This window comes from Homo sapiens, chromosome 9 (genome assembly GCF_000001405.40).
Source record: "Homo sapiens chromosome 9, GRCh38.p14 Primary Assembly".
In the NCBI taxonomy this organism is placed as follows: domain Eukaryota; kingdom Metazoa; phylum Chordata; class Mammalia; order Primates; family Hominidae; genus Homo; species Homo sapiens.
The window spans coordinates 121,603,449-121,627,499 of NC_000009.12; the positions used below are offsets into that span (position 1 = coordinate 121,603,449).

At 50.1% G+C, this 24,051-nt stretch overlaps 1 protein-coding gene across 1 annotated transcript in view, besides 1 other annotated feature; it reads left to right on the plus strand.

Annotated features, from left to right (window-relative positions):
* DAB2IP (DAB2 interacting protein) overlaps positions 1-24,051 on the plus strand; it is a 218,457-nt gene that overhangs the window by 36,375 nt on the left and 158,031 nt on the right. The window lies entirely within an intron of this gene.
* Positions 1,100-1,887: an enhancer, noted in NCBI's record as "H3K4me1 hESC enhancer chr9:124366827-124367614 (GRCh37/hg19 assembly coordinates)". NCBI's record gives its function as "activates a minimal SCP1, AML or CMV promoter by ChIP-STARR-seq in primed H9 embryonic stem cells {active_cell/tissue: H9 hESC(primed)}" and the evidence as "EXISTENCE:reporter gene assay evidence [ECO:0000049][PMID:30033119]".

Sequence of the window (24,051 nt, forward strand, 5' to 3'; positions counted from 1 at the left end):
GGTCACTGGAGTCCAGGAAACTGCAGTGACGTGTCCAAAGCCCTAATGTGTGTATGTGGGCAGGGGAGGGAGCGGTGATAAGAGTCAGGACCTAAATCCAGGTGCCTTGACAATAAGGCACTCTGGCCTTTTTTGCAGTCTTGTTCATGCCTCACTATTTTTCTGCCCTATCTGGTTGTGGCTTTGGTGCCAGAGCCCTCACCTGGAAGCTTGAAGACCTGGGCCACGATCAGGCTGTGTGATCTTGGGCAGGGCTGGTCATCTCTTAAAACGTTAGGTTTCTTTTCTGTAAAGGGGCTGAAGGTGGGGCTTTTTGTCCAGATCTCTGAGGTTCTTTCCCACCTTGACATTTACAAGTTGGGCTCTGTCTGCATTTCCTGTCTGGGTTTCTAGGGAGAGGTATTCATGATGGGCTCAGGGCATGGGTGAGGGGTTGAGTTGGGCTGGAGGGCAGAGTGCTCCATGGGAATTACTATGAAAGGGGCCAGAAAGGCTCTTATGGGAATGGTGGCCAGTGGGGCCAGGACACCTGGGGGCAGTCCAGAGGGGGACAGGTAGTGGAGGAAGCCCAGGGAAGGGGGAGGTCACTTACCTTAGAATTACACAGTGTTTTGCACCCTGATCCTTGCAAGAAGGTGATGGTGGGAATGACTGGGGGTCAAGGGCAGGAGCCAAGGGGGAGCGTGGGGGCACTAGGGCCAACCCCACTGCAGGCCCTCTCAGCCCTGGGTAGTCTTGACCAGGAGACAAGGGGGACATGTAAGAGCCTTGTCTCCCTTCCAAGCCATCACATGTCTCTCCTCTGGGCTTCCTCAGCCTTTCCTGAATCTGACCTGAACGGTTCTAACCTCTCCCTGGGGCGAGCAGCTGGCTGAGGGGGTCCAGCTGCCTGTTTCCCATCCCAGGTGGGCCTCCAGCAACCCAGCTTCCTACAGTAGCCCTTAGTAACCACAGCCTCTGCTGGCCACTTACTGTCATGTGAGTGACTTCCTGTTAACCACGAGATCAAAGCCAAGCTCCCTGGCCTGGCAAACACGGCCCCATGTCTGGCTCCAGTTTTCCTCCCTGCCTCTTCTTTCTCTGCTCTTCAGGTTTTATGTTGCCTGGACTTGGCCTGTGACTTCCAGAATGCCCTTTTCTCTCTGCCACTGCTTACTGCCCAAATTCTTCCTGCCCCTCTGGGTGTAGCACCAATTTCACCTCCATTTGTTCTCATTGCCCCCCTAAGGGTGAGCCGTTCCTCCGGGCTTGTAGCTCTTTCTTACTAACTGCCCTGCTTTGCCTGTCGTTGTCCGCTGCCTGTCCCCCGTGATGGGCTCTGGGCTTTAGAAATTGCTCTAGTGAATGCCCTAGTGAATGCTTGGAAAGCTTTGTAGAGTTGGACTAGCTTTGAATCAGGCATGATTTTTCCACTCCTGCTCCAACTGCCGTGCCTGCACCCCCCTCCTCAACAGAGTCAAGTGGAGAGCCTCGCAGTCTGCTCTGGGCAGGGCTGGCTCTAGCAAGGGACAGAAGAGAGATGCCTTTGGTTTGCAGAGAACTTCTCTGCCTCATTTGGATTTTTGTTTTGTTTTGTTTTGTTTTTAATTGAGACACGGTCTCCTTCTGTCGCCCAGGCTGGAGTGCAGTGGCGCGATCTTGACTCACTGCAACCTCCGCCTTCCAGGCTCAAATGATCCTCCCACCTCAGCCTCCCAAGTAGTTGGGACTACAGGTGCTCGCCACCATGCCCAGCTAATTTTTGTATTTTTTTGTAGAGACAGGGTTTCCCCATGTTTCCCAAGCTGGTCTCGAACTCCTGAGCTCAAGTGATCCACCCGCCTCAGGCTCCCAAAGTGTTGATTACAGGCATGAGCCACCATGCCCGGTCCCATCATTTGGATTGTTCTTGATCTGCTTCTTAAAAAAAACTTTATTCTGGCTGTGTGGCATCAAGGGGGACCGGCCTAAAAGCAGGTTAGGGAAAGCCACCTGTCAGTGTCAGTCCCCACCTGCAGGCTGAATTTCAGGTCTCAAATGAGAATAGCCAAATTCACCTGCTTCTTTAGAATTATTGTTGGTTTTTTTTGAGACAGGGTCTCACTCTGTCACTCATGCTGGAGTGCAGTGGCATGATCTTGGCTGACTGCAACCTCCACCTCCTGGGCTCAAGTGATCCTCCCACCTTAGCCTCCCTAGAGTATCTGGGACTACAGGCGCTTGCCGTCATGCCTGGCTAATTTAAAAATTTTTCTTCTTGTAGAGATGAGGTCTCACTATATTGCGCAGGCTGGTCTTGAACTCCTAGGCTCAAGCAATCCTCCCACCTTGGCCTCCCAAAGTGCTGGGGTTGTATGCATGAGCCACCGCACCTGGCTTCTTTAGCATTTTCTTAAGAGTGTTTAAAAAGTACTTGTGAAGGGCCTGTGGGGGTTATTGGGATTGTGTCGGGGGCCCACAGACATGGTCCCCACAGACATGAACATCGAGGAGTCACATAACTGTTCTGGGGTTGCACAGTTATTTGTGGCCAGAAAGTCCACAGAAACATCTGTCCCTGAGTTCAGAGAGGGCTGTTGAGTCTCAGAGGCCAAAAGGGAAAGAAAAAAATGAGGACCAAAAATATATACTAAGGTTGGGTGTGCTGGCTCACGCCTGTGATCCCAGCAGTTTGGGAAGCCAAGGCGGGGGATCACCTGAGGTCAGGAGTTCAAGACCAGCCTGGTCAACATGGTGAAACCCCGTCTGTAATAAAAATACAAAAAGAAAAAAAAATAAAGAAAGAAATTAGCCAGGTGTGGTGGTGCATGCCTGTAATCCCAGCTACTCAGGAGGCTGAGGCAGGAGAATTGCTTGAACCCAAGAGGTGGAGGTTGCAGTGACCTGAGATGGCACCACTGCACTCCAGCCTGGGTGACAGAGTGAGATTCTGTCTCAATAATAATAATAATAATAATGTATGCTACAGCACAAAGCATTTATATCACACTTTCTGGTGTGCAAGGTGCTTTCTGCAGAGGGTCCCCTCCCAGTCCCCCTGTGACTTTCTGCTGAGGAAACCAAGGCTCTGAGAAACACAGCTCAGCTCCCATGGCTGGAAGGATGCAGCTCAGGACTTCCCTGACTCCCCTCACTCCAGGTCCAGTGCTCACGGGCAGGGCTCAGAGTGGCTGTTGGAAGGAGGCTCTCCTTATTGACGGCTCCCAATTCAGAGTGAGGATTTTTTTTTCTTTGACATTCTTGTGTTGGGATCATTTTCCCTGTTACCATCATTGGATGAGTGTGAACTCAGGCAGTGGGGGGTGAGGGAGGTGGGACCAGGGAGAATGGCAGCGTTCTTTGTTTTTTGTTTTTTTTTTTTTCTTGAGATGGAGTCTCGCTCTGTTGCCCAGGCTGGAGTGCAGTAGCGTGATCTCAGCTCACTGCAACCTCTGCCTCCTGGGTTCATGCAGTTCTCCTGTCTCAGCCTCCCGAGTAGTTGGGACTACAGGTGCATGCCACCATGCCTGGCTAATTTTCATATTTTTAGTAGAGACAGGGTTTCACCATATTGGTCAGGCTGGTCTCAAACTCCTGACCTTAAGTGATCCACCCACCTGGGCCTCCCAAAGTGCTGGGATTATAGGCATGAGCCACCATGCCTGGCCGGCAGTGTTCTTATGAACGTAGAGAACACCTGCGCAGATGGGTCAGGTGACCAGGTCAGAGATCTCTGTCCTGAAGTAGGAAGCCCCCTGTCCTTGTAGGTGACAGTGGCTGATACCTAGTAAAGACTCATCTTGGAGTGAGGTCTGATGGATGCTAGGGTACTGGAGGGAGAGGAGAGAGATTGATGATGGTCTGGTTTTATGTTCACATACTCCTATCATTCCTTTGGGTTTTTCTTATTTTTTTGAGATGGTGTCTTGCTCTGTTACCCAGGCTGGAGTGCAGTGCCACAATCATGGCTCACTGTAGCTTGAACTCCTGGGCTCAAGCAATCCTCCCATCTGAGCCTCCAAAGTAGCTGGGACTGCAGGCAAGCACCACCATGCCCAGCTAATTTTTTTATTTTTTGTAGAGATGGGGTCTTGCTGTGTTGTCCAGGCTGGCGAACTCCTGGCCTCAAGCAATCCTCCCACTTAAGCAATCTTCCCACTTTGGCCTCCCAAAGTGCTGAGATTACAGACATGAGTCACCACCCCATCGTTCCTTTGTTGCTTCCTGTCCTACTTACTATTGCCTTATCAGTTTATCTGTCTCTGCCCCTGCCCCTGTCCTTAGACAGAGGCATCCTAGCACAGGTGCCTCATGGTTTTCCCCTCTGGGTGACCCTGGAGCAAGACCAACCTCTTAAGAGGGGAGGGGAGGGAATGTGAATAAGTAAATAAATAAGCAGATGAATGAGGGACTCTTCTCAGCATCTTTGGTGACCCTGTCTGACTATCACTGGCTGTAGAATGTGTGACAACTGAGTCTACCAGGCAACGGCTGTTTGCCGGGAGCAGCAGGACCCAGCCAGAAGACATAATGGAAGCAGGCCCTGGCCAGAGCAGGGACCTCAGAGCCTTTCCCGGCAGAGGGAACGCAATCAAAGCTGGCGCTGCTTCCGGGAGGAGAGAATTCCCAAAAGGCTCTGTCAGCCCCTCTGATAGGGATCTGCAGGGTGTGTGAGAGATTTGTTTTTCAGCCAGGATGTGGGGAGTTAAAAATAGACACCCTAATCCCTTGAGTTCGTGTCACACTTGACGCTGTGCAGAGCCCTATGGCTCCATTATCTCACTTGAGTGGCTCGGCAGCCTTTGACGTGGGGAGAGGTTGCACTGCCCGCTTTATAAATGAGCGTGTGGAGGTGCGTGCCCAATTTCTTACTTGAGACTGTACCCCAAATTCAGTGGCAGAACCTGTCTGATCCTCAGCCCCTGAGGTCTGTGTTTTATATTCTTAGGAGAAGCCAGATGAGAGTCAACAGGCTCCAGGAGGGAAGCGGGTTGGTGGAAACAATAGGGGTAGATTTTTAAGCAAAGCAGCAAGGATGGCAGGGAGACTGAGAATGAATTGAGGTCCCAGGGAGCAAAGGCTCATGATGGGCTTGGGGAGCAGCCGAGGACTGTAACTGGTTGGAGCAGGAGTTGGGGGGGTAAGGTAGTGATGGGAATAAAGCAGAAAAGTACCATCAGGACCCCAAATCGAGGACCTAGAATGCTATGATAAGGATAGTGAACATAAAGCTGTAGGCAATAGGGAGCCATTGAGGATTACAGAGCACAGTAGCTTCCTGCTGTAACAACCATGCATTGCAATGATGTGCTAACTGGCTTTGCTGTAGGTATTACTTTATGGTGTTTGACAGAATATATATTTTTTAAACCCTCAGAAGACACCTGTCCATCCTGACCTCTCCTTATGGAACCTTGCATCGTGCTAGGGGGAGCACCCCGTTTTCTGCTGCCTCTTGGTTTGGGGAGGAGCCCCCTCTGGGGCAAAGTCTGTAACTAGGTTTCTCGGCTTTTTCTAGTTTTTGTTTGTTTGTTTGTTTGTTTGTTTGTTTTTGAGACAGCGTCTCGCTCTGTCGCCCAGGCTAGAGTGCAGTGGCGCAATCTCGGCTCACTGCAACCTCTGCATCCCAGGTTCAAGCGATTCTCCTGCCTCAGCCTCCCTGGTAGCTGGGACTACAGGTGTGTGCCATCACGGCCAGCTATTTTTTTGTGTGTTTTTAGTAGAGACGGGGTTTTGCCATGTTGGCCGGGCTGGTCTTGAACTCCCGACCTCAGGTGCTCCGTCCGCCTCGAACTCCCAAAGTGCTGTGATTACAGGTGTGAGGCACTGCGCCCAGCCTTCTAGTTTTTAATCTAGGTGCTCCTGGTTGTCCATCTGTCTGTCTTCCCCATGGTGGGAGGAATTAAGTGACAGGGAGGAGGTAGTGGCTGAAGTTCTAGCCCGACCTGACTCATTGAAACTTTTACAGGCTGTCTAGTGCATCTGACACCCTGCCACTGACAAGCTCCCAGACCACCAGGATCAGTTTTCTCCACTTCTCACTTCCATCCCTCCCGCTTTGGGACCCCCATTCGGCTCCCAACTTCTCCAGGCATCCTGCACTGATTGTTCCAGCAACACTGACCTTTTCTGTACATTTTAGTGCCCATGGCCCTCTAACTTGTATGTTTATTAACTCTTTGCTCCTTCCCTAGCTAGGCCAAGGCCCCTGGTGGGCAGGACAGGAGCTAAGCAAGATGTAAGCTGGACAGACCATTGGAAATCTTCTGGTGCGATCTATCCATTTTAGAATTAGGGGGATAGAGGCCTGGGTTTGCCTAAAACTTCATGACAAGTTCCTGGCAGAGCTGGGATTCAAACCTGGATCTCCAGGGCTATCTTGGTCCTTGGCTGCAACATCACCCACTTCTCAGAGCCACCCTGCTTCTCAGCTCCAAGAGCCAAGAATTCCCAGCTCTGCAAGAATCCCAGTTTTGCAGCCTTGGCTCCTCCTGGGGCTGGGAGCCAGCAACGCCAAGCCTGCAGGTTCCCAGAGAGGGCTCCTGGCGTCGGTGTGGCTTAGTCACAGGGATGAGATCACTACTCACCTCTGGATAGGGGAGGATGCCAAGGTTTGGGAACTTTCACTCTGAGCTACTTGATTTTGTGTATGTGTGTGTGTGTGTGTGTGTGTATAAGAAAAACAAACCTTTTGGTTGGGACTTTGTACTTGGCTCATGAACTGTGGGCTTGGGGAAGCTGCTGAGCCATGATAAGCACTTGTACTGTGCCATCTCACAGCTTCCCAGGATAGTGGCTCTGTGTTAGGAAGGAGCTTGGACCAGAGCCAGAACCTGGTGTTAGCATTTGCTCTGCCTCACATTGGCTGTGTGACCCTGAGTACGGTGCATGGCCTCTCTGGGCTGTAATGATAATACCTAGCAGCTCACACTTTCTGAGTACTTCCCATGGACCAGCCACTCGGCTCATCAGCCCATTTAGTTCTCACAATAGACCTGTGAGATCCTGTTTTCACCTCTGTTTTGCAGATGAGGAAACTGAGTCCCAGAGAGGAGGAGTGACTTGCCTAAGGTCACCCAGCTGGGAAGGGCAGAGCCAGGGTTGGAATGCAGGTCTTCCCAACTCCAAAGCCTCTCGTGTCAGGCACTCTGCTGCCCTGCCCTCTAGCTGCAGGGCTACCTCCTAAGGGATTGTGGAAGTGTAAGTATGGAGAAACCAGGTGTAATTCAGCACGTGAGGGGTGGGAAGGTGATGGATGAAGGGTCTTTTTCTACGCTGATATCGTTCTCCATCTCCCCACTGTCCTTGAGTAGTGCTGTCCTTGAATAGTCAGAGGGGGGCGCAGAGGAGAGCAGGTACAGCGGTATGCAGGCTCCATGAGAGGAAGGGCGTATTTGAAGATGGTTTCACGGACCGCCAGTCCTGGGCCCATCTCTTTCCACCCCCTGTAGGTCACTGGCTTTGTGAATGTTGATTGTAATTCCTTTCCCATCCTCCCCTAGAAGGTATCTTCAAGGCAGGGGCTCGCTAAGGGATTTCCTTTTGAGTGGAGTGACCATAAGATTTGTTTGTTTGTTTGTTTGTTTTTGAGACAGAGTCTCACTCCATCACCCATGCTGGAGTGAGTGGTGCAATCTTGGCTCACTGCAACCTCTGCTTCCTGGGTTCAAGCAATTCTCCTGCCTGAGCCCCCTGAGTAGCTGGGATTACAGGTGCCTGCCACCACGCCCGGCTAATTGTAATTTTTAGTAGAAACTAGATTTTGCCATGTTGGCCAGGCTGGTCTCGAACTCCTGACTTCAAGTGATCTGGCTGCCTCAGCCTCCCAAAGTGTTGGGATTACAGGCATGAGCTGCCATGCCTGGCCTTGACCATAGGTTTTGATTCAGATTTGGAACAGAAATCTGTTGATGGCCACTGAATCCTGGGCTTGGAGTAGGAGCTAGGGGAAGCACCAAGTAACTCGTTCCCACCCCAAGGAAGCTGAGTACAGCAGACAGGCTAAGGGTGTGTGTGTGGTCTAAGGTCCATCAGACAGACCTGGCTTTGGGTTCTGGCTGCTCTACCTACCAGCTGTTTGACCTTGGACAAAGTTATCTTATTTCTCTGATCCTCAGTATTCTTAACTATAAATTGCGGATAATAATACCTATTTTTTAGGGCTGTTATTATATTATTATTATTTTTTAATTTTTTGAGACAGGGTCTCACTTTGTTGCCCAGGCTGGAGTGCAGTGGTGTGATTTCGGCTCACTGCAACCTCTGCCTCCTGGGTTCAAGTGATTCTCCTGCCTCAACCTCCTGAGTAGCTAGGATTATAGGTGTGTGCCACCACAGTCAGCTAATTTTTGTATTTTTAGTAGAGACAGGGTTTCACCATGTTTGCCAGGGTGGTCTCAAACTCCTGGCCTCAAGTGATCCACCTGCCTCGGCCTCCCAAAGTGCTGGGATTACAGGCATGAGCCACTGTGCCCAGCCTAGATTAAAATTATACGTGCAAAGAAAGAACACAGTACAGTGTCTGCACATCATAAACATTTAATAAATGCTGCAGTTTTGTTATTACTTATTATTTGCATTATTATTACTGATGGTCTTCTTAATGCACTTTATAGCAGTCTTGGGATCCTCTGGCCATACCCCTTTCCAGAACTTACTGCCTTTGGTGAAGGTAGTTCTGGGTAGGGGAAGATCTGAATTAAAGAGTCAATCTACCAGCCTGGGAAACATAGCAAAACCCTGTCTCTACAAAAAAAAAAAAATTACCTGGGGCTGGTGGTGTGTGCCTGTAGTCCCAGCTACTCTGGAGGCTGAGGTGGGAGGATCGCTTAAGTCCGGGAGGAGGTTGAGGCTGCAGCGAGCCGGAGCCGTGATCGTACCACTGCACTCCCACTTTGGTAGCAGAGTGAGACCCTGCCTCAAAAAAAAATTATTATTTTTAATGTGAATGATTTTTCTCTTGGAGATACACAGGGTCTCAAATTGGCCAAAAAAGGTGTCTGAACATGGGTTTTTAAGGGAGCTGCTTTGATGAATAGAGAAAGGGGATAATAGAGAAAAAGATTTCTTTAAGGTGCTTGAAATTTATCTTTTGCATGGTATCCACAGTCCCCGTGAGCTTGTTTCTGCTGTGTAAGTCACCGGGGTGAGTGTCTGTTGAAGCAGGCATGCGGGGTAAAGGTGGGGCAGGGCGGAACTCCAACAAGTCTCAGCTGCTGCTCCTCCCTCTCTCCCTTCCGAGAACCGCCAGGGTCCTCCTTAGAGAGAGAGCCTGCTCAGCCTTTGGGGAAGCCACAAATTGGTGAAGTTGCTGTAGACAGCAGTGTGTGTGTGTTTGTGTGTTGTGTGTACGTGTTGGTGGGGGGAGGTAAGAGGTCAAGTGGGTTTCCCAGAGGAAGAAAGGCTAGAGCCAGGCCCAGGAGGACAACTGCTCAGGTTTCTGCAAACAGGATTGCAAAATCACTTTTCCCGAGCTTACCCAGTTCTCCATCGGAGTCTTGCAGCCAGGTCAGCTGGGAGCCCCCAAGCTTGGCAGTTAGGACACTTGGGGAGGTGTGGGGAGGGGGGATGTCAAATCCTGCCTCAGTTTCCCCATTTGTCCTGGCTATTCCTAGAGCCCCATTTATCTAGGCTATGCTTTCGGACAGGAAACAGAGGGATGTGGAAGGAGAAGATGCAGGTTTGGGATAAGAGTTGAGTCTGTCACTTCCCACTGTGTGCCCTCAGGCAGGTCCTTCTGCAGCTGCCTGGGCTCCTCAGTGTTTTGAGGCTTCGGTGAGGTAATGTGTGTAAAGTGCTTAGCACAGAGCTGGCATGAAGTAGTGTCTGTAATTATAAACCACCTTGGCCACTGTTGTTTTTAGCTTGGGACCCACCTTACCCCGACCTGACTGCCCTTGCCTCTTGCCTTCCCTGGAGTTCCTGTTTGTTGTTGACATCCTCCTCACCAACTAGTGCAGGGATTTTTAAAGTATTTATATCCTTGCTGGAATTTCTCTTTGCATTGTTTAGTTAATTACCAAATTGAATTGCGGCAAATAATTTCACTTCCTTTCCAGTGCTAGGGCAGGAAGTGGCCCGGTGCCTTTTTTTTACTGTGATTGAGATGATTATTGAGATATTTGATGATGATGATGTCTCCTTCCCCTGAGAGGTTCGCTTCCTCTTAGATCAGCTCCACTGGCCCCATAAATCAAGGCAGCAGCCACGTGCTTGGAACATAAATCTTGTCGAGGATGTTGATGTGTTTGGCCACATGTGGTTTTTGGTGTTTGGGCAACTTCTCGCAAACTCGCGGAGGGATAGTTGAAAAGGCTCCCTTTAAATACAGAACAAATGACCTGTGCACTTATTGGAGAAGTGCTGGGATAGTTGAAAAGACTCCTTTTAAATATTCAGAACAAATGACCTATGCACTTGTTGGAGAAATTCTGTCCAATGGCATACAAATTAAAAATCAAGGCACAGGGAGAAGTCTTCAGATGGCAAGAAATCAGTGGCTCTTCTCCGCAGCTTGATAGTGTTGATGGTGTTGGCTTCTGCCCTGTCCCTCATGGCTCTAGGGTGGAGAAGCAGATTGGATAAAGACATGGGGTTGAAACTGATGTGCTGGGGGGCTTCAGATCCCTGCCCTGCCACTTAGTAGCTGCAGGAATTAACTGCGGCCACTTAATTTTCCTGGGTTCTAAAACAAAGGATACAAGATAACCGGCTTCATAGGTCTATGTTGTAATAGTTTTGCTTCACACAATGCCTGGCACATGGTAAGCACTGGTAAGTAAGCCATTACTTTTAACTCAGGGATCCTCATCGTGTTCTTTACCCAAAGACCCTTCCCATCCTACCTTTCTAGCCTTGACCTCCTTCTTGCAAGATGATAACCAGGACCTAATGTGTCCAGGACTCTCCCACCTTTGCACTTCTTTCTTTTCTTTTTTTTTTTTTTTTTTTTTGAGAGGGAGTCTCGCTCTGTTGCCGAGGCTGGAGTGCAATGGCATGGTTTCGGCTCACTGCAACCTCTGCCTCCTAGGTTCAAGTGATTCTCCTGCCTCAGCCTCCCAAGTAGCTGGGATTACAGGCATGTGCCACCATGCCTGGCTAATTTTTGTATTTTCAGTAGAGACGGGGTTTCACTATGTTGGCCATGCTGGTCTCAAACTCCTGATCTCATGATCCACCTGCCTCAGCCTCCCAAAGTGCTGGGATTACAGGCGTGAGCCACTGCGCCCGGCCCCACCTCTGCAATTCTGTTGTGCGGTTTCTACTATTTGGAACATCCCCTATTTGGTCTCTGCCCATAGAATCCTTTCTTTTTCTTTCTTTCTTTCTTTCTTTTTTTTTTTTTTGAGATGGAGTCTTGCTCTATTGTCCAGGCTGGAGTGCAGTGTTGCGATCTTGGCTCACAGCAACCTCTGCCTCCCAGGTTCAAGCGATTCTCCTGCCTCAGCCTTCTGAGTAGCTGGGACTATAGGGGTGCACCACCGCGTTCGGCTACTTTTTGTATTTTTAGTAGAGACAGGGTTTCGTCCTGTTGGCCAGGCTGGTCTTGAACTCCTGACCTCAGGTGATCCACGAGCCTCGGCCTCCCAAAGTGCTGGTATTACAGGTGTGAGCCACCGTGCTGGGCCTCTTTTCCTTTCAGAAGTTATCTCAAGCACTGTGCCCTCCATGAAATTTCCTATGGCCCCTCAACCTTAACTGCCTTAGTGTATCCTTGTTACGCCTTATGTCTGCAATAGTTGTCGGCCCAAGTATGTTCCATGGAATGGTAACCTGGTAAGATGCTTTGTAGAAAAGAAGGTTAAGAAAAGGCTGCTGAATACTTTATGTACCTGTTTTGTATAGTACCAATCCATATGAACAATTTTAAAGGTTCTGAGAAATCCTGCAGTAAAGAAACCTGCTGAGATTTGTTTACTCCAGAACTTTCCAAACCTCTGACTGTAGAACACTTTCTTCTTGGAATGCCTATTGATAAGCTTTGCGACACTCCTGGAGAGGTGGCGTTGTAGACATCTATATAACAGTTTGATGCTATCTCCTCTTATAATGAAGGAAACCAAAGCCCAGAGAACTCAGTGACTAGCCTCAGGTAAATCCCAGTGTCTACCACTCCATCACCTCTTGGGTCAATTGGCAGGTCCTTTATAATGAGTGTCCAAGGCTGGGTGGCAAGGAAGGGCTGGACATGGTAGCCAAGGACCTGCTTTCAAATAACTTTCTTTCTTTTTTTTTTTTTTTGAGACAGTCTCACTTTGTTGCCCAGGCCAGAGTGCAGTGGCACAATCTCAGCTCACTGCAACCTTGGCCTCCCTGGTTCAAGCGATTCTCCTGCCTCAGCCTCCCGAGTAGCTGGGATTACAGGTGCGCACCACCATGCCCGGCTAATTTTATATTTTTAGTAGAGACAGGGCCTCACCATATTGACCAGGCTGGTCTCGAACTCCTGGTCTCAAGTGATCCACCTCCCTTGGCCTCCCAAAGTGCTGGGATTACAGGTGTGAGCCACTGTGCCCGGCCTCAAAGATCTTTTGGCCTTGTCGAGGTGGCGAGATGGACATATGGAATAGAGACAGATTAACTGCTAATCTTGTGTCCCTGGGCCCATGTGTAACAGGAGCCTTGGGACCCTGTTGTGTCCCTGCCCAAGAAGGGACATGAGAGTCAAATGTCCTTTGAGAACCCAGCCCTGTCCCTGGGCCTGGGACCCCAAAATTCGACCCCACCTTCCTCCCACCCTGATCCCTGGGGATTCCTGTGGCCCTATGTGGTTGCCTCCTGCAGGATGCAGGCGAGGGAGGGGCGGGAAGGCTGCAGGGAAGAGAAGAGCCTTCTGTTTATTGAGGCACAGCCTTCTCCTGCCTTTCTGGGGGAAAATGCTCTCTTTTAGAGTCCTCTTTTTTATCTGAAATTCTCTGGGGAGCAATTACCTGACAGTGGGAATTATCTGCTGTCTTTATTCTAGTGCCTGTCTGCCTGAGTTCCTTCTTGGAGTAATTGATTTTGGTAATTCAGAGCTTCTGAACGTTTCTTAGGGGAAGGTGTGGGTGCAGAGGCAGGGGGATACCCACATAGGCGTTTTTAAAGGCGTTGGCGGCTAGCGGCTCTGCTGGTGGTAGTTGGTGACAGGGATGGAACAGTGACTAAAAAGAATGTATTTTTTAGCTTTGAATTTTTCCCCACTTATACGGAAGGTGTGTGGGTTGCATGGGAGCGCTCCTGACTGTGGAACTGGGGCGGGTTTGCTGAAGGGAAGTAAGGAGTTGAAAGGCAAATTGTCAGGTCTGATGGGCTTGATCACTCTTCGCCACAGGCAGGTCAGTCCTGAGTACCGGCCCTGGCCCGACCCTGGCCCTCACCATCAACCTTTGGTCTGCCAGGGAGCCTGGGAGGTGGCAGAAACTCCTTGGAGAGCCTTTAAAGAGAGCAGCGGCTCCCAGTTGGCTTGACCTTTCTGCTGGGCAGACCGAGGTACTGGCTCCAGACCCTGCTGCCCCAGGCACTGCTGTCCCCTGGGAGAAGAGGGCTGGCCAGGGCACCTGGCTTAATAGGGGGACAGAGAAGGTCATGAAGGGTGGACCTCAGGGTGAGGGGCCTGGGTGACTGGAGAGGTTTATCTGTTCCGTGAATAAAAAGGGAGTAGGGTGGCCAGGCACGCTGGCTCATGCCTGTAATCCCAGCACTCTGGGAGGCCGAGGTGAGCAGATCACCTGAGGTCAGGAGGTCGAGACCAGCCTGGTGAAACCCTATCTCTACTAAAAGTACAAAAATTAGCCAGGCATGGTGGCACGCGCCTGTAATCCCAGCTACTCAGGAAGCTGAGGTGGGAGAATGCTTGAACCCAGGAGGTGGAGGTTGCAGTGAGCCGAGATTGGGCCACTGCACTCCAGCCTGAGCAACAGAGCAAGACTCTGTCTCAAAAACAAAACAAAACAAAAGGGTGAGGGGAGTAGCGAGTAAATTTGCTCCTAGAAATGCTCCCCTAGCTAATTCCCCAATTTCAAATGAGTGAATACTCTGGATATGGGAGGAAGAGCTTGGACTAGAAGCTTCCTCAGGCTCTCTCATCTCAAGCGTTCTGTGGGAGGGACAGCCCAATACAGCGGTTTCCGTGGAGTCTCTCTTCTCTGCACCTCACCCAAGGGAAAGGAACCTGTGGGGCACTGGTTTGGGTCCAGCCCCAGAGGCAGCCTGTCCTTTGTCATAGTGACCACCCTCCCCGCTGAGGTCTGGACACTGCAGCTCCATTCCATGGCCTTCGGCCTGGTGTTACTTGGCATTTTCATTCCTATTTTACAGATGAGGAAATCGAGGCCCAGGGTGATTGGTTCACACCATGAGTTAACAGTGGGGCAAGGCCTCATACCCAGTCTCCTGATAGCTGGTCCAGGATTCCTGTGAGCCTGAATGGGGGGTCAGGAGCTCATCAGATGCCCAGTGGAAGAGCGGGGTGCGTACTCACGTGGGAGGGGAGCCGGTTTCTCTGGTTCCATTGTAGCTCTTAGCTGGATTTTCAACTCCATGGCTGGTTACTTGAGTCTATGTTTAATCACCTGCTAGACTGAGAAGCCCCTAAAGGACAGGGACCTTTTGTCACATTGGGATCACCTTTTGTGGCCAGCTCAGTGCTTGCATGAGGTCAGCCAGGGCGCTTTAGGTACAAGACAGAAGGCCCCCCTCAAGCTGGCCAGAGTGAAAGGGATTTTATGGGCTCACCTACCTAAAAACCCAAGGAGGCCCAAATGGATTACGATGGGATTATCTGTCTGTCTGTCTCTCTCTTCCCATTTCCCCCCAGTTCTGGGTTCAGTTTCTCCACTGAGCTGGGAATGGGGAAAGGGGAGTCCCCAAGGGAAATGAGGGTGCTGGCCCCAGAAGAAGGAGGGAGCAGACACAGGCAAAAACAACAAAAGCCTCATAAACATACAATGTGCATGTCATGAATGGTAAATTCAATGGATTTTTTTTTTTTTGAGGCAGAGTCTCACTCTGTTGTCCAGGCTGGAGTGCAGTGGCACAACCTCGGCTGACTGCAACCTCAGCCTCCCAGGTTTAAGCGGTTCTCCTGCCTCAGCCTCCTGAGTAGCTGGGACTACAGGCGCCCACCACAATGCCTAGCTAATTTTTGTATTTTTGGTAGAGAGAGGGTTTCGCCATGTTGGCCAGGCTAGTCTCGAACTCCTGACCTCAGGTGAGCCTCCCAAAGTGCTAGGATTACAGGCATGAGTCATTGTGTCCGGCCAAATTCAATGGATTTTTGTAGAAACATTTTTTTTTTCTCCCAAAAGGAATTCACGCTGTAGGCGTGACATCCAGGTGCACATCAGCTCCTATAACTAAACAGAGCAAGCCCTGTGCATTGAGAAAGATTCTGAAACCACCTCTTGGCTCAGCAGAAAAGAGCATCATAATCGGTTTAATTATTTGTGCCTTTGCCTTGGTGGTGGGGGTGGCGGGGCAGGGGCTGTGTGTACGGCATCCCTAATCTGGTCCCAATTTTGGTGTTGTAGAAGTACTTTTAAGAGTTGAAAACAATTGGATTGAACCTAAATGATGTTGCAAGATTTCCCCAAAGCTTAAAGAGCCAATTATGTGGTTGGGAGCCCTTTCTGACCGGCTGTGATTCCATCCTAAGGACTGACAGATAAATTATTATGTGGAGGCCGTGATGAAGGGTGATTGTTGGAAGGTGTGGCTCTTGGCACTCTGATGGCTCCAGGGAGAGCTTCGTGTCCTTTGTATTGTTTTGTTTTTGTTTTGAGACAAGATCTCACTCTGTTGCCCAGGCTGGAATGCAGTGGCGTGATCTCAGCTCACTGCAACCTCTGTCTCCCAGGTTCAAGCAATTCTCATGCCTCAGCCTCCTGAGTAGCTGGGACTGCAGGTACGCGCCACCACATCCCGCTAATTTTTGTAATTTTTGTGGAGATGGGGTTTTACCATGTTGCCCAGGCTGGTCTTGAACTCCTGGCCTCAAGTGATCCTCCCATCTCTGCCTCCCAAAGTGCTAGGATTACAGGCGTGAGCCACTGAGCCTGGCCTTCATATCCTTTAACTGTGACAAGAGTGAGCTGCATGGCCCCTGCCTGCGCTAACGGTGTCAACACATATTTATTCAGTGCCTACCATGTATCAGGCACAGTTTTGGGGCAGATTGAGATAAATTTATCCCGGATTATATGTCACACTTCTGAAAGAGGAGATGTTGGAAAAGGAGGTAGCTCTTAAGATTTTTTCCTAGTTGGGACTTGGTAAGAATTGCAAATGTCCTTACACTTGGGTGGAGTATGTTGTGATCCCAGTAATGATTTCCGGGAGCGCTTGTAAACCACCTCTGGTGTCTGAAATTCCACCATTAGTGATTCATTCCTTTGGGGTAAGCATTGCCGTTTCTATTAATAGCTTAGGTATTAGGTACTAATGGGATACTAAATAGGGATCTCATTCATCGCTAAGGCCTCCTTAGGTAGGAAGTTATTCTTTGTTTTTTCTCCCATGACAAGGCCCTAAGAAGAGAACCCCTATTTGGGTGGAGTTAAACTGGGATACAACATTGGGTTGGTGGTGGAAGCCAGAGTATGTGCATTATAAGACGTGGTGCCTGCCCCACCCAGAGTGCTAAACTTAGCAACAGTCAAAAATTGTCATCATCAAATCACTTTTAGTGGTCATTGTTCTCCAAGTTTGGATCCTGAAGGCAGAACAAGAACTAAAGGTCCTTCCCGGCTCTGACCCCCTGCTGCAGCCTTCCGGATCCAGCCGCTCAAATGGGCGGCTCCGACTCCTGCTGCCTGGGCCAGCTGCTGGAGGAAGTTGCTGGAGCCCTGGCCAGGCACCCCTGCCCTCCCACCCTTCCCAGCTGGAGGTGTGGCTGTTTGCTTCCACCTGTTTACTTTCTGGCTTCTAGCAGCTCCTTCCACACTGAAAATGCCAGCCACTGACCGGTCCACAAACGCCGACCATCCCCCTGCTCCACTTGCAGTGGTTAAAGGTGTGTGTGAGCTCTGGAGTCTGAATGGGTTTAGAATGAGGCTTGACCTGCTGAGTAACTGAGCTGCTCTTTGCTGACATTCCCATCTGTAAAATGGGATAACAGTGCTAACCCCAGTAGGTTCTTGGAAGTATCAGTGAGGTAGCTAATACATATCAGGTCCCTGGTTAAAGGCCTGGCTTATAAAAGGAGCTCAATATATGTAAACTTTGATATTATGTTATTGCTTGGGGCCTTGGCCAGCCACCCTGGGGGGGTCCTGCCCCTCCAGCTGCCCTCTCTTGCCTTCCCAGACACTGTGCTCTTCCGGTGGCTCAGATGTTTCTCTATTGAGACTTCTCTGTTGACACCGCTTGACCCTCTGAGGTCCTAACCCGGGTACCCTCCTCACCTACCAGCTCTCACCTGGGAGCCCCACCCATGCCCAGGGCATTAACAACCCCTGAACCTGGGCTACTCCCAACACAGACTGTAAACCTCCCCTGAGCTCAGATGGAGAGAAGTGCTTTTCACTGGCTGCTCTAAAAGCACATCAACCAATCCAACATGAAAGGCCCTTCCTTTCTCCTAACAACCACTTCCTCTCTCGCATTCACCTGCTCCCCCAGGTCCCAACTTTCCTCTTTGAGGGGAAGACCGCACTGGCCAGCCCCTGGGACAGGGAACCACACCCAGGTGTTTCCTTCCTTCCCTTCCCTTTTTCCTACCTGCAAGTCTGGTGGTTCCCCTTGGGCACCATCTCCTGCACCCCATCCCTGCCCTCACTGCCCATTAGGGGACAGCCCAGCCACAGCCCCTTCTGGTGCAGCTTCCTGTTTTCTCCATGCTGCCTCCAGGGGGAGTCCCTGGACCTTGGTCTGAGGGGTCCCTCCCTTGCTCAAGGTATAATCAAGTCCCTGCTTGAGGGACTCCCTATTTTCCCTGAGATATAATCCAGACTTCTCAGCTCGGTTTTCAGGGCCCTTCTTCCAAATTCCAGTAGGATCCTCCTTGCCAACAGTTCCTTCCTATGTGCTCAGGAGCTCAGCTGACTGAACAACCCACTCCATGGCCTCTACCTGTTAGACTGCCTTGCCTGTGTTTCTCAAAGTTCCCCTGCCTGGTGTGCCTTCCCCTCAGCCCGGTGCCTGCCTGTGGATCTGATCACATTCACAAAGCCTGCAAGGGATGTAAGTCCTCGTGCAGTCCAGTCCCCTGTCTCCCATCAGAATATCATGGCTGTTTGTATTTCTTTTTTTCCTTTTTTTTTTTTTTTTTTGAGACCAGTCTCATTCCGTTACCCAGGCTGGAGTGCAATGACACAATCTTGGCTCACTGCAACCTCCACCTCCCAGGTTCAAGCATTTTTCAAGCAATTCTCCTGCCTCCGCCTCCCAAGTAGGTGGGATTATAAGAGCATGCCACCACACCTGGCTAATTTTTTTTTTTTCGTATTTTTAGTAGACATGGGGTTTCACCATATTGGCCAGGCTGGTCTCGAACTCCTGACCTCAAGTGATCTGCCTGCCTTGGCCTCCCAAAGTGTTGGGATTACAGATGTGAGCCACCATGCCTGACCCTGTTTGTGTTTCTTTTTCTTTTTTCTTTCTTTTTTTTTTTTTTTTTTTTTTGAGATGGAGTCTCGCTCTGTCGCCCAGGCTGGAGTGCAGTGGCGCGATCTCAGCTCACTGCAACCTCTGCCTCCTGGGCTCAAGCGATTCTCCTGCCTCAGCCTCCTGAGTAGCTGGGACTACAGGCGTGTGCCACCACGCTCGGCTAATTTTTTGTATTTTTAGCAGAGATGGAGTTTCACCGTGTTGGCCACGATGGTCTCGATTTCCTGACCTTGTGATCTGCCTGCCTCGGCCTGCCAAAGCTTTGGGATTACAGGCGTGAGCCACCGCACCCGGCCCCGTTTGTGTTTCTTACCCTCCCCTTGGCTCCTTCCATAGAAGCAATACTTTTTGCAGTCTGGGAATCTCTGGGGTCTACAAGAGGGGGATCTTGCCTTCTAGGAAAACTGCCTCTCAGGGGCAAGATGGCTGCCTCCAGAAGTGTGTGCTTTGAGGAGGCCAGGATGGGGACCTCCAATACCTGACACAGGGCAGAATTCTATTCCTTGTGACTCACTGTCTCGAAGGTTACGTGGGTTTTGTCAGATACGCTGGGCTCCATGGCCGGGAGCCCTCCACTGCCCTCGTGTCGGGGCTCTGCTTTCCTGTCTCTCTCTCGGGAGGTAAGATTTCCACTTCTCAGGGCTGGGGCTGCCGGGTGGATTGAGCAATGGTGTGGGTGAAAGCAAAACAGAAGTACACAAACTAATAATTAACAGATGTCAATTGTTAATAGCTGAAAAATACCACCACCACCCCACCCCCTGCCCCCAGGAGGGAGGAGAGCAAATGGTCACTTGATCCCTTGGAGGAGATTATTTCACAGCCAGCTTGGGGCAGGTTTGGCCAAGACAGTGACAAGTACTGTGGGGTATATGGGCAAGGGGGATGGGAATAGTGCCATTGCCAGGGCCACTGGGCTTTGACTTACTTTGATTCCCTTGTTTAATGCTCACAGCCTTAAGAGTCAAGGGCAGAGGCATTCCTGAGAATGAGCATGTGGGTGCCTGGGGGTGTGCACGTGGGGCACCCTGGGTCCTATCTGCCGAGTCTGAGCCTTGCGCCATCTCTCTTAAGCAAGTGAGATGCTTACTTAAGAGAGCAATTTTGCTCTCTTTCTCACCTCAGTTTTGCAGATGACATTGGCTTGACATGCCTGAGGTCAGCCCCAGATTGCCAAGCCGGGGTCCTCGCTGTGACACGGCATGGCCAGTCCCTACCCTAGACCCAGGTGGCAGCCCCACCAGATTTAACATCCAGGGGTGGTGCAGGGCCAGTGGGGACTTTACCTAGCTTGAGAGGCCTCCTCTTTGAGGCAGGGCAACCCCAAGGGTGGGTTTTAAGCTTTCAGGTTTAAGAGTTCAGTTTTGTTGTTGTTGTTGTTCTTTTGGTGGGGGGAATAGGGTCTTGCCCTTTTGCCCAGGCTGGAGTGCAATGGTATGTTCACTGCTCACTGCAGCCTTGACCTCCTGGGTTCAAGTGATCCTCCCACCTCAGCCTCCAGAGTAGCTGGGACTACAAGCATGCACCACCACACCTGACTAATTTTGGTATTTTTTGTAGAGATGGGGGTCTGGCTATGTTGCCCAGGCTGGTCTTGAACTGCTGGGCCTCAAGCGGTCCACCCACCTGGCCTCTCAAAGTGCTGGGATTACAAGCATGAACCACCATGCCTGGCCAGGGTTAAGGTTGTTTTGTTTTGTTTTGTTTTGTTTTTGAGATGGAGTCTTGCTCTATTGCCCAGGTTGGAGTGCAGTGGTGTGATCTCAGCTCATTGCCACCTCCGCCTCCTGGGTCCAAGTGATTCTCCTGTCTCAGCATCCTTAGTAGCTGGGATTACAGGCACATGCCACCATGCCTGGCTAATTTTTGTATTTTTAGTAGAGATGGGGTTTTGCCATATTGACCAGGCGGGTTAAGGTTTTGAGTTTACTTCACATCTGTAAGCTGCTTCTCTCCTTCCTTTGCCTCCATGTTTGTACATTTTCTAATGAGAGAAACCATCCATTTGTTCTCTCACCTGCCTTGGGCCCAGCCCAGTTGGTTCTGTCTGGACCGCAGTTCCCACCCCTCAGCCCCAAGACTTGGAGGTACCTTAGATTCACTCCTCTCCTAGTGCCACCATCTCACTACCTACCTGTGCACCTGTTGGCCCTGGCTCAGGTGTCACCTTCTCCATGAAGCAGCTTTTCCAGGCAGAGTCTATGGTTGTCTGTGCCACGGACCCAGCGGGGCTGCCCAGAGGCAGGAGCTGGTGTTGTTCCTGGTGTCCCCAGGACTGACCAGGTTAACACCTGGCAGCTTGTAGGAGTCACAGAGGTTCGTGGCAAGGAGGAAGGCATGCACCTGAGGAGCAGGGTGGAGTGGTGGCTGAGATTGCTGAAATAGCCTACGGCCAAATCCAGACCATGCCACTTACAAACCAGCCTTGGACAAGTCAGATCACTTCTCTGAGGCTCAGTTTGCTCATCTGTAAGATGGGGAGGTAAAAATACAGTCATGTGCCACATAATGATATTTCGGTCAAGGACAGACCAATAAGGTCCTTAAGATTTAACACCATATTTTTACTGTATTTTTCTGTGTTTACATACATGAATATTTACAATTGTATTGCAATTGCCTACAGTATTCAGTACAGTAACATGCTGTACAGGCTTGTATCCTGGGAGCAGCAGGCTACCCACCATCTAGCCTAGGCGTGCAGTAGGCTACACCATCTAGGTTTGTGCAAGTGTACTCTATGATGTTCACACAACAACAAAATCGCCTAATGATGCATTTCTCAGGACATATCTCCATCATTATGTAACACACAACTGTACCTACCTTCTGGAATTACTGAGAAAGTTAAAAGACAGGAACGTACATGAAGCATTTAACACAGTGCCAGGAACGTAAGTCTCAATAAGTATTCATTTCTGTTGTGGGGATTTAGGGGGCTGCGAGAAGAGCACGCTGCTATAAACAGGCCTTCCTGGGCCGGGATCTCGGAGGCTAAGCACTCGCACTGCCTGCCCCGTCCAGGGCATGGATGAGGGGCTGAGATGGGGAGGGAGGGGCCCTGCTTTGGCAGTCAGCCCCTCTGTGACGTGTCCACATAACATCCATAGGAAGTTATTGTTTTTCCCCATATTTTACAGAGGAGGAAGTAGAGGCTCAGAGAGAGAGGCTCAGAGAGGTGAAGTCATTCACCCCTGTCACACAGCTGGGAGCTGCAGTGCCAACATAGATGCTACCAAAGTGGCTGGGCTTTTTTTTTTTTTTTTTGAGACAGAGTCACTCTTGTCGCCCAGGCTGGAGTGCAGTGGTGTGATCTTGGCTCACTGAAGCCTCTGCCTCCTGGGTTTAAGCGATTCTTGCGCCTCAGCCCCCGAGTAGCTGAGACTACAGGTGCGCACCATCATACCTGGTGAACTCTTTTTTTTTTTAAATTTTAATTTTTACCTTTTTAGTAGAGACAGGATTTTGCTATGTTAGCCAGGCTGGTCTCAAACTTCGGACCTCAGGTGATCTGCCTGCCCCGGCCTCCCAGAGTGCTGGGATTATAGGCGTGAGCCACCACGCCTGGCCAATGGCTGGGCTTTGAATCTCCCTTTGGCAGTGAGGTTTGGGTTGCAGTGAGTAGGTTTTGGAGTTTGGGCTGATGGGATGGCAGGATCAGGAGGGCTTTCTGCTTTTTTTTTTTTTTTCCCAATGATGCCAGTTCTGAACTGTTGCTTCCTGGGGCACCACAGGCAGGGAGTCTGGGCCAGTCTGGCCTTCAGCCCTATTTGCTGTGACCTGTATGGTGTGTGTTTATTTTAATATGTGATCTAGTTGTCTCCATTGAACGATCAGGATTTTACATCCAAATCTGGTAGCTTCTTGTAAACTTGATCTTCCGGCCATCGTGGGCCCACATTCCAATAGGACAGTGTGGGCTGGAGTGTGTTCCCCATTTAGCCTGCCTGGCCAAGCCTGCTTCTCTCCTTTCCTTTCCCTCCTGGCTCACATTGGCATTTGCGTTTGTGATTCCTGAGCCAAGTGGGCTACAGGGCTGGGGCACACGTGGGGTATGGGCCCTGGGAGCCCCCTCTGAGGAGCTCCCTACTAAGAAGGGCAGGCAGAATTATGATTCAAGGCAAGATGAGTGGCCCCAGAGAGATGTCTAGACAGTGCTTGGGGCTTTCAGAAATGTTAATGTGTTCAGAGGAGGGCATCCAGTGACTTGGCACACGTTTAATGAGCTCTTGCCTTGTGCCTGGCACTGGGCATCCCTGGAGGCTGCAGAGATATATTCAGGACACAGACTGTCCTCAGAGAGCCTGTGTTTCCGGGGGTGAGGGCATCCAAAATGGGCTTTCATGGAGCAGGATATTTGTGTTGGTAAAAATGAAGATGTGAGGCACTCTGGGCAGACGAGATAGTGTAGACCAAACTTCAGACGAGAAACCTTTTTTTTTTTTTTTTTGAGATGGAGTTTTGCTCTATTGACCAGGCTGGAGTTCAGTGGTGCGATCTTGGCTCACTGCAACCTCCACCTCCCGGGTTCAAGTGATTCTCTTGCCTCAGCCTCCCGAGTAGCTGGGATTACAGGCATCTGCCACCATGCCCAGCTAATTTTTATAGTTTTAGTAGAGACAGGGTTTCACCATGTTGGCTAGGCTGGTCTCAAACTCCTGATCTCAGGTGATCCGCCTGCCTCAGCCTCCCAAAGTGCTGGGATTACAGGTGTGAGCCACCGCGCCCAGCCAGAAGAGAAACCTTGACAGCACCCCCTGGTTTGAGCTTTCGGAGAGTGGCTCTTGCTCAAGAATGACGAAGGCACAGGAAGATTCAACCTGGAGAAGCACTGACTTTGGAGGAAAAGGTTCTCTTGTGTTTTGAATTTCTAAAGACTTTTAATCTATTTTTTAAAAAATAGCCTTTATTTTTTAGATCAGTTTTAGGTTCACAGCAAAATTGAGCAGAAAGTACGAGATCCCATCTACTCTCTGTGCTCACACAAGCACAGCCTCCCCCACCATCAACATCCTGCACCAAAATCTGCTTCTTAGTCTATAAAAATGGCATGTCATGATTTTGTTTATTAAAAATAAAATCAAATATTATAGACTGAAAACTAAGCCTTTTTTCTTCACCCCTACTCAACACACACACACACACACACTCACACACACACACACACACACACACACAAGCATATGTAAGAATCTATCCACCCAGGAGATCATCCCACATATCCTGAAGTATCCGATGCATCTTCACCTCGAAGTCCACGGTGTCGGTATACACATTTCCACCTCGCGCTGCAGAACGGTCACACAGGATTCCATTTTCAGGAGAGACTATAATTTATTCAACCAGGCCCCCTGTGATGGACACAGACGTTGTTTACAGTTTTGGTGCTTTTTTTTTTTTTGTATGCTGCTTCAAACCGGAGTGCATAAACATCCTTGTACATCTGTTCTTACACGCTTGTGAGAGTTTATCTGAAGGATAGCATGTAGAAGGAGAATCTATGAATTT